This window comes from Homo sapiens, chromosome 2 (assembly GCF_000001405.40).
Source record: "Homo sapiens chromosome 2, GRCh38.p14 Primary Assembly".
In the NCBI taxonomy this organism is placed as follows: domain Eukaryota; kingdom Metazoa; phylum Chordata; class Mammalia; order Primates; family Hominidae; genus Homo; species Homo sapiens.
In genome coordinates, this window is record NC_000002.12 from 232,455,452 (window position 1) to 232,465,425 (window position 9,974).

Sequence of the window (9,974 nt, forward strand, 5' to 3'; positions counted from 1 at the left end):
GGCTGCTGTGGATAATGCTGCTGGGAACATGGGTGTGCAGTTATCTGTTCGAGTCCCTAGTTCGCATTCCTTTGGCTACACACTCAGAGTGGGATGTCTGGACTGAAGCAATACTTTTGAACTCAGCCTGAGGTTACCAAACTCTCTGAACTCCTTATCAGAGGCTACACTTCTGGGTGTTCCCCGGGGCCCATGGAAAACAGACTCACCCCAGGCTCCATCTACCTGTGCAAGGGAACAGGGGTCAACCTCAAGTGCACAGGCTGCTCTGGAAGACCCAGCCCAGGTCTGGCTGACCCAGAGCACTGGCCCCTTCCCAGCCTGCGTCCTCAGGACATAGGTGTGGGCACCCATATACACCAAGTGGGTTCTAGGGCAGCCAGGCCACCCAGTGTGCCTCCTTTCACACTCCTCTGGGGCTCGTGACATTACGAGCCCTAACCCGGGCCCTGGCCTAGGCTGTGTGTTTCCAGTCTCACCTCTCTTCACACCTTGAATGAGGTGAATGAAGGAGTGGCAACGCGTCTCCCACAAGACACTGTGAGCCACACCCAGTCCCTTCCCTTCAGCAAGCTTGGCTTCAGGTCACAGGACTGGGCGGGGTCAAGATGGACACCAGGGGTGTGGGGAGGGACGTGGAGCATTTACAGCCAGGGGCAAAGTCCTCCCCTGATTTAAACCCAGGCAGCCTGCGCTGCAGCCGGTTCCTGGTGTCCCCACTTCGCCTCCCTCCTGCTGCCCCCAAGACATGCAGGGGCCCTGGGTGCTGCTGCTGCTGGGCCTGAGGCTACAGCTCTCCCTGGGCGTCATCCCAGGTAATGAGGCTCCCCAAGCTGTTCCACACACAGGGCACCCCCTCAGCCAGGCTGACCTGATCTCTACTCTCCCCCTGGCCAGCTGAGGAGGAGAACCCGGCCTTCTGGAACCGCCAGGCAGCTGAGGCCCTGGATGCTGCCAAGAAGCTGCAGCCCATCCAGAAGGTCGCCAAGAACCTCATCCTCTTCCTGGGCGATGGTGAGTGAGCAAGGCCTGTCCAGCCCCGTAGTCCTCACAGCCCCGGCACCCGGGACCTTCAGTGGTTCCAGGACAACCCTGGGGCCCAGGACTCACACATTTCTGCTCCTTCAGGGTTGGGGGTGCCCACGGTGACAGCCACCAGGATCCTAAAGGGGCAGAAGAATGGCAAACTGGGGCCTGAGACGCCCCTGGCCATGGACCGCTTCCCATACCTGGCTCTGTCCAAGGTAAGGGCTGGGCCACCTCAGAGTCCTCCAAGCAGAGGAGAGGGATCAAGGATATGGAGTGTGGCAGGAGGGAGGGAGCCAGGACAGCTGGGGCCTAAGTTAGGAGCTGGGAGCAGTTAGGATCCCAGAGGACCAGAACCAGGTCCTTGGTTGGGGTCTGGGTGTCCGCCCCGAAGTAGAGCTCAGGGTGTCTCCGTTCGCAGACATACAATGTGGACAGACAGGTGCCAGACAGCGCAGCCACAGCCACGGCCTACCTGTGCGGGGTCAAGGCCAACTTCCAGACCATCGGCTTGAGTGCAGCCGCCCGCTTTAACCAGTGCAACACGACACGCGGCAATGAGGTCATCTCCGTGATGAACCGGGCCAAGCAAGCAGGTGAGCTGGGGCCCGCTGTGGGGTCAGGACCAGGCCCAAGATCTCGGTCACCGATCCTGACCTCTGTCACCCTCAGGAAAGTCAGTAGGAGTGGTGACCACCACACGGGTGCAGCACGCCTCGCCAGCCGGCACCTACGCACACACAGTGAACCGCAACTGGTACTCAGATGCTGACATGCCTGCCTCAGCCCGCCAGGAGGGGTGCCAGGACATCGCCACTCAGCTCATCTCCAACATGGACATTGACGTGCGACCCCCGGGCCAAGGGCTGGGGCTGGGCAGAGGGGAAGGTGGCACAGGCTCAGATCCAGGCAACCAAAAGCCTGATCTGGGTCAGCAGGTTCTGGAGGTGGAGTTGGGGATGTAGAATGTGCAATACAGGCTGGGCCATTCCCACAGCCCTGGGGAGGGGAGCCAGGGGCTATGCATGAGGAGGGGGCACGGGGCCAGCCAGGCCCCCAAACCACCTGCCCCATCCATTGTCCTCAGGTGATCCTTGGCGGAGGCCGCAAGTACATGTTTCCCATGGGGACCCCAGACCCTGAGTACCCAGCTGATGCCAGCCAGAATGGAATCAGGCTGGACGGGAAGAACCTGGTGCAGGAATGGCTGGCAAAGCACCAGGTGATGGGGGCTGGTGGGTGTGGGAGGCACGGCAGGGGGAGGCCAAGTGTGTGGGTCTCAGGGCTGTGGGCTGAAGCCTGGCTCTGTCCCTGCAGGGTGCCTGGTATGTGTGGAACCGCACTGAGCTCATGCAGGCGTCCCTGGACCAGTCTGTGACCCATCTCATGGGTAATGACCCCCTTCCTGCCCTGGCATTCCTCAGACAACCTCAGAGGGTGCCATCCGAGCCTGTGTGCCCATTTGCCAGCACCCTCCCGCTCACAGCCTGCCAATCACCACCAAGCTCCTTGTCCCACAGGCCTCTTTGAGCCCGGAGACACGAAATATGAGATCCACCGAGACCCCACACTGGACCCCTCCCTGATGGAGATGACAGAGGCTGCCCTGCGCCTGCTGAGCAGGAACCCCCGCGGCTTCTACCTCTTTGTGGAGGGTGCGTGGTGGCCCCTGGGGAGTGGAGGAAGGCGGGGCGCGGCAGGGCAGGTTCAAGCATCACCCCCCTCTGGCCTTCCTGCAGGCGGCCGCATCGACCATGGTCATCATGAGGGTGTGGCTTACCAGGCACTCACTGAGGCGGTCATGTTCGACGACGCCATTGAGAGGGCGGGCCAGCTCACCAGCGAGGAGGACACGCTGACCCTCGTCACCGCTGACCACTCCCATGTCTTCTCCTTTGGTGGCTACACCTTGCGAGGGAGCTCCATCTTCGGTAGGCCTGGGGAGAGTGGCAGGTGCTGCTGCATCAATTATGAGGGTGAAGTTTGAGCTTCAGTTTCCTCCTCTGTCAAAAGTGTGCAATGCTGGCACCAGCCCTATAGGGATCTTGTGAGGACCGAGCCCCCGAACAGGCAAAAAGTGGCGGTGCCTGGCACATAGGAGGCACTCCCACAGCTGTGGTCAGCTCAACTACAGGGACCCGCATCTCCCTACAGGGTTGGCCCCCAGCAAGGCTCAGGACAGCAAAGCCTACACGTCCATCCTGTACGGCAATGGCCCGGGCTACGTGTTCAACTCAGGCGTGCGACCAGACGTGAATGAGAGCGAGAGCGGTGAGTGAGGCTGAATGGCCCGTGCAGGGGGACCAGGGTGCCAGGGATGGGGGCATTCGCGGGAGGGGGACGCCGCCTGCCTGCCCTGAAGTGCACTCACCCTCCTACCAGGGAGCCCCGATTACCAGCAGCAGGCGGCGGTGCCCCTGTCGTCCGAGACCCACGGAGGCGAAGACGTGGCGGTGTTTGCGCGCGGCCCGCAGGCGCACCTGGTGCATGGTGTGCAGGAGCAGAGCTTCGTAGCGCATGTCATGGCCTTCGCTGCCTGTCTGGAGCCCTACACGGCCTGCGACCTGGCGCCTCCCGCCTGCACCACCGACGCCGCGCACCCAGTTGCCGCGTCGCTGCCACTGCTGGCCGGGACCCTGCTGCTGCTGGGGGCGTCCGCTGCTCCCTGAGTGCCCCACTCCGGAGTTATCCTGCTCCCCACCTCCGGGCGTCCTGCCCTGTTCCCCGTCCTGAGCCGCCACTTCCAGCGAACACACACAGGTGTCCTGCCGTTGGACCTTCACCTCCTAGAGATAAACCAGCCTCAGCTGGCGCAGCGGGGCCCTTCTTCCCTCCGCATCCCCTTCAGGGAGCAGGAGCCCAGGGCGCCCTGGGAGCTGAGCCTGGGACTTCCAGGACCTCCCCTCAGGTTGTTCTCTGATTCTTCCTCCCAACCCCAGAGACTGCAGATTTGTGCCATGCGGCTGCCTGCACCCCAGACAATAAAGGGACCAAAACCACCCAACCCCCACCCTGCCTCTATCCTAAGGAAGACCAAGCAGGCCTGGACCCAGAGACGTCCCCCATCGTGGGACACGACACACCCAGACCGCGTGCCCCACCGTCTTAGCTTCAATCCTGGCAGCACCTGGTAGACCCAAGGACTTGGGTGGATCAGGACACCTGAAGAAGAGAAGCTTCCGGCAACCCTGCAACCCACCCAAGGAGGCTACTGGATCGGGGATTCCCAGGGGGGCTTTGACACAGTCCTCTGCTGTCTCCCCACTAGGATCATTCCACACCCCTGCACCTGACCAAGGGACCAATGAGGCAGAGGCTTGCCCCAAGTCACAGCCACTCAGATGCTTCCTGCCCCCCAGTGCCCATTCCAGGTCACCAGATCCAAGGAGCGCTTGAGGAGCTCTGGGTACAGGGCAGCAACCCAGAGCCCATGGGCCCTCCCGGGACATCTGGATGCTGGGCATAGATTTCTCAACAAGGAAGACTCCCCTGCCTCCTCAAGGTCTCCATTCTCCTAGGAGACAAAGCAATAATAAAAGGTGTTAGACAATGTAATGCCAGTACTACTTCCTAGGAGAAAAATCATGAGTGAGTGTGGGCACAGTATCTGGAGAGGTGGATAACGCAGGCCAGGAGGTACTGCTGAGGGGCAGATGATTGAGCAAGAGACTTGAACAGAGTGGGGGCTTGAGCAAGGCAGCACAGCAGTGCAAACGCCCTGGGGCAGTGTCAGCAGGTGCTCTGGGAGGCCAAGGGCTGGATCAGAGGGGTGGGGGTGGGTGGGCAGAGTGGGGAAAGCCTGAGGGGTCAGGAGAGTGGGGTGTGCATGGGGGACTGTGAAGTCTGGTTAGAGGGGTGTGGTTGGAGGTCTTTGAGGAGGGCTGTGACCTGCCCTGGTTGGGAAATAAGCACTCTGGCTGCTGCCAGGAGAAGGGTCTGGTCTTTTGGGCAGAGGGTGGGGGTGGTGGCAGGCTCAGGTGAAAGCTGGGGAAGGAGCTGACTCCAGGTGTTTCTGACCTCCCTCTGAAAGTATTCTGGAGCGCCCATCCCAATACAGCCATACTTAGTGAGTACACACCTGCTCCAAGAGAACATTGAAAAGAATAAAGGTGAAATCAACCACATTTTCCAGCAAATTTTGCAGTATTACAAATTTATTTGTACATTTACAAAGGTGCAAAAAAGCATCTTGCTTTTGCAAGAAATAGTAACATCATTCAATATGCTTTCTTATTTACTAAAACCTTGAAATAAAATTGTAAAACATCAGTTTGAAGGCCTGACTCTCAGGGTAGTTCTTTTTTAATTCTGGGTTTTAGTAGCTGTCACAAAAATATTGGAGGACCATGATCCCACTTGTGAATAGCCATAGGACTCCAGCCTGGGAAGCATAGCGAAAATCTGTGTCTAAAAAATGAAATAAAAGGATGAATTTTATGGTATGTAAATTATATCTAAATTTTAAAAAACAGATTCGAATATATAATCTGCTTTCAAGTTTTTTTAAATGTGTAGGGATCAGGGTTTTATCAGTCAAATACATTTTTTACCACAAAATTCACATGTCAATGAAAACATTCTCAAACTTTGGTTCTAAAAAATGTTTTCTTTGGCATGAGTTTTCATTCCAAGATGATTACTTTCTCATTTTTTCATTGAAAGGACATCTTTACCTTGAAGGAGCAGATGCAAGAAAAGTACAATTATTTTTCAAGCTTTTTCCTGATTGCCTAAAACAGACAGCTCTTGTCATCTCAAAAGTGTCAGCATTTTGGTCTTTAGGAAGGAGGGAGCCCGGGCGCAGTGGCTCACGTCTGTAATCCTAACACTCGGGAGGCCAATGTGGGCAGATCATTTGAGGTCAGGAATTCGAGACCAGCTTGATCAACATGGAAATCCCATCTCTACTAAATATACAAAAATTAGCCAGGCATGGTGCCGTACACCTGTAATCCCAGCACTTTGGGAGGCTGAGGCGGGCGGATCATTTGAGGTCAGGCGTTTGAGACCACCCTGGTCAACATGGTGAAACCCTGTCTCTACTGAAAAGACAAAAATTAGCCAGGCGTGGTGGTGGGGGCCTATAATCCCAGCTACTCCGGAGGCTGAGACAGGAGAATTGCTTGAACCTGGAGGCGGAGGTTGCAGGGAGCCGAGATCACATCACTGCCTCCAGCCTGGGTGACAGAGCGAGACTCCCTCTCAAAAAAAAGAAGGAGGGAGGTGGGAGTGGGGGTGAGGATTTAAAAATTACCTATCGGGTACAAGCTCATTATATGGGTATTGGGTTCACTAGAAGCCTAATCTCCACCAGTATGCAGTCTACCCATGTAATAAACAAGCACATGTACCCCTGAATCTAAACTTTTAAAAAAGAATATTCACAGGAAAAAAAAAGAGTTAATCACAGGGAAGCAGAAACAGACATACATTAAAAATTACTGATAAATTTTTTAAAAATAAGGAGGGAGGGCCAGGCACGGTGGCTAACACCTATAATCCCAGCACTTTGGGAGGCCGAGGTGGGCGGATCACGAGGTCAGGAGATTGAGACCATCCTGGCTAACACGGTGAAATCCCGTCTCTACTAAGAATACACAAAATTAGCCGGGCTTGGTGGCGGGCGCCTGTAGCCCCAGCTACTTAAGAGGCTGAGGCAGGAGAATCACTTGAACCCAGGAGGCGGAGGTTGCAGTGAGCTGAGATCACATCACTGCACTCCAGCCTGGGCGACAGAGTGAGACTCCGTCTAAAAATAAATAAATAAATAAGGAGGGAGGGAAAGTCAAGCAGAGAGGGAGGGGAACTTGGGGCAACCCTCTTCGGTATTTTGCTATGAAGATAAGTCATTCTGTGTGGCTGGAAAGTTTTCATGGTCCACCCAATCTCCTTACCAAGTATGGGAAAGATTCTACTGTAATGCCACAGTCTTGGCTTTATAACATTAGCCCACTGATGGTCTGCAACATTCTATGCCCTCCAGGCTTCTACCTCTTCCCTGCGCTGATTAGACTGTGGATGAGCCAATGAGTGAGGGGTAAGGGTGAAGCCACCTCTGCACCCTGATTCGTATCCAGAATCCTTTTTTAAAAAACCCTTTCTGAGTAGCTATTCTATCTGTGGTTGCATTTTTACCGTTTTTCCCATATGACATCGTTTTTATTAAAGAAGGCATTTACTGTTGGCAATATATCTTGTCTGCTATATCTTCCCTTTAGTGGCTCAAAAAAAAAAAAGGAAAGAAAGAAAGAAGTGGTTTGTGTATTTCATTATTGGAATAGAACCTGGCAAATACCTTCAGCTGAGCCATGTTGGGAACATCTGTGCTTTCAGCACACTGCAAAGCAAACCTCCCACACTGGGTAATTTGCTCTAACATGAGTTTCTTCCAATCTTCGGCAGTGTTTTCTCTACATCTTTCGATGGTGTTTGCTGACAAAGAAATGCCTTTCGGTTTGTCGACAGATCATTTATTGTTCATTGTTTCTGCCATTTTTCCTGCAGCAGAAAGAATAAGTGTCTGCCCATTGGTAGATGTTTTTTGCTTCATGCTATCATGCAAGAAACTTTAAAAGAGCTTTCCAAATATTTATCATTGCTTAGGGAAATAACTAAGAAGTACTGGGTTGAACAGCACAGAACTTTAAACACCGCTGGGAAAAAAACTGCTCAGGTTTCTCTTCGGTTCTGAAAGCTTAGTTTTAGACACCTTGCCAACCATGAGGATTTCACACTGCTGATGACTTAATAGCTCCAGGCACCAGGCACCCGGGGCAAACTTCAGCAGTAACCACAGAGTGGGGGAAATTCAAAGAGTTTTGTTTGCTGATTTTTTATTTTAGGGGCTAACTTCTGGTCAGGTCTGTACCCTGAGCTCAGCCAAGAGTAATAAGGAATTCTCAGCTCTCCCTTCTGCTGTGGTTCACCTGCTCTGGATTTCTGGTGTTCATTGCAGATTCCTTACAGGAATCTTGTGTGAGCCACTTGGCCATTTTGGGGGATGAGTTCGGTTAATACCAGATCATATAAGCCGAGCGCGGTGGCTCACGCCAGTAATCCCAGCACTTTGGGAGGCTGAGGTGATCGGCCATCACCTGAGGTTGGGAGTTCAAGACCAGCCTGACCAACATGGAGAAATTCTGTGTCTACTAAAAATACAAAATTAGCTGGGCTTGGTGGCGCATGCCTGTAATCCCAGCTACTCAGGAGGCTGAGGCAGGAGAATCATTCGAACCCGGGAGGCGAAGGTTTTGAGATGGTGCCATTATACTCCAGCCTGGCCAACAAGAGTGAAACTCTGTCTCAAAAAAAAAAAAAAAAACAAGATCATATAATCCATCAATCCACTTAGACGCACTAAACTCTAATCCTCCGCAATCCGCTGAAAGCGTGCAATCCAGAGTGGGTATTGCATCAACCCCTGGTCTCGGGCACCAAATTCCCTTCTTCTGGGACACCAGAGAACTGCGTGGGGTGGTACCTGCATGAAGGGTGAAGGCGCCAGCATGGAACTTGATATTAAACATGAGCTCTTGGGGCGCCCACTGCTCAGGGCTGTGGCAAGGCATATGGCGAGCTGAGCAAACAGTAGGCACTCAGGAGTGCCTGACATCCCTTTAACCAAACCCCAAGGTCCAGGTGAGTTTTGAAGTACTTGAGTACTGGGCAGGATGCCCAGGCTGAGCAACTCCCTGTGAGCAGGGGTATCTCACTCCCTGCAGAGCACAGACCCCAGAAGGCACCACAGGTTCAGTCCCCAGCAGATTCGAAGCCCCCTGCCCATCGAGTTCCCTTGAACCCCTGCCCCTGCACAGATCCAGTGATTGGCACAGGAAGCCTCCAGATCCAGCGAGAGGAGCACACTCCGGCAGCCTCTCGGGAGGACTCAAGGGGGATCCCAGCTGTGCCATTCTGGCCTGGGTGCTGAAGTTGCATCTGATCGTGCCCTGGCCCCACTGGTTCTAGGAACAGGCCTCCCCACCAGGTTAGCAGCTGCATAACTGGCCTCTGCCCCTAGAGGAAGCCTCCCTGAATCTCAGCCTCCCAGAGGGGCTCCAGAGGCCTTCCGGAAGCTGTGTGGGATTTGCAGTTGCACCCCTTCATCTAAGGCGGCCCCAGGGTCTACTGACCCCAGCTGACCATTGACTGCCAGTGCACACACCAGACCCCAACACCAACAAGCAGCTGGAAGCTCCCCTTGATAGAACCTTGCCACTGGGGCTGCCAGTCTTTGCTAATGCGCTTGGCATGGTGCCTGGGAACCAGCCACATGGCTCTTGAGCTGCCCTTCAAGGAGGAAACAGAAGTCCCCTGTCAAAAGATGAGGCCACCATCCACCCTTAACAGGGAGGTGGCCAGGCCCTGGTACCCTGTTCTGGCACTTTCTTTGTTCACCAGATTTGCAAATTTGTTATCAGCCAGCACAGTTTCCCCACCTCCACCCACCCTGTCTGGGCTCCTTAGAGTAAAGGAAAATTCTCCCCAAGGAGCTGCCTTCAGATCTCTCCACACAGATTCCTGACAGCAGTCCCTGCAATGGTTTGGTTCCACAGGATCATAGAAGCTTTTTAAAATTATTATTTATGCAAAATATAGACAAGGAAAGATGCGATTTGACTGCACCATGTGACAGCTTCTTGGGGATTTGAGCTGCCTGCCGGTCCAATGAACCAGCCGTGAGCTGCTGCCAGAGGCTACGGGATCCTGGGTGGCAGCTGAGGTTGGGGAAGCCAGGAACCCATCTTACTCCCTTGCAACCTGATGAGCTCATGCTGGACACAGGCCCAGCTCGGGACTGAACCGTGTAGCCCTCTGGGCACCTTGAACCTTGCACCAGGGTGGTGGGGAGGCTGGGGAGGAGGAGGCATTCACTGTGACCAGTGGGGTTGCTTTATATGTGGATGTGTTTATAGCTTTTATTTTATGTGTGTGTGTGTGTGTGTTTATTC

At 54.3% G+C, this 9,974-nt stretch overlaps 1 protein-coding gene across 1 annotated transcript; it reads left to right on the forward strand.

Moving 5' to 3' along the window:
* Positions 1 to 701: 701 nt before the first annotated feature.
* Positions 702 to 5,302, forward strand: ALPI (alkaline phosphatase, intestinal). The gene is made up of 11 exons (NM_001631.5): positions 702 to 815; positions 898 to 1,014; positions 1,129 to 1,244; positions 1,448 to 1,622; positions 1,699 to 1,871; positions 2,114 to 2,248; positions 2,344 to 2,416; positions 2,547 to 2,681; positions 2,766 to 2,957; positions 3,181 to 3,297; positions 3,409 to 5,302. Exons 1-11 carry the CDS (start codon positions 749 to 751, stop codon positions 3,693 to 3,695), a joined length of 1,587 nt encoding a protein of 528 aa, NP_001622.2. The 5' UTR covers positions 702 to 748; the 3' UTR covers positions 3,696 to 5,302.
* Positions 5,303 to 9,974: the final 4,672 nt, after the last annotated feature.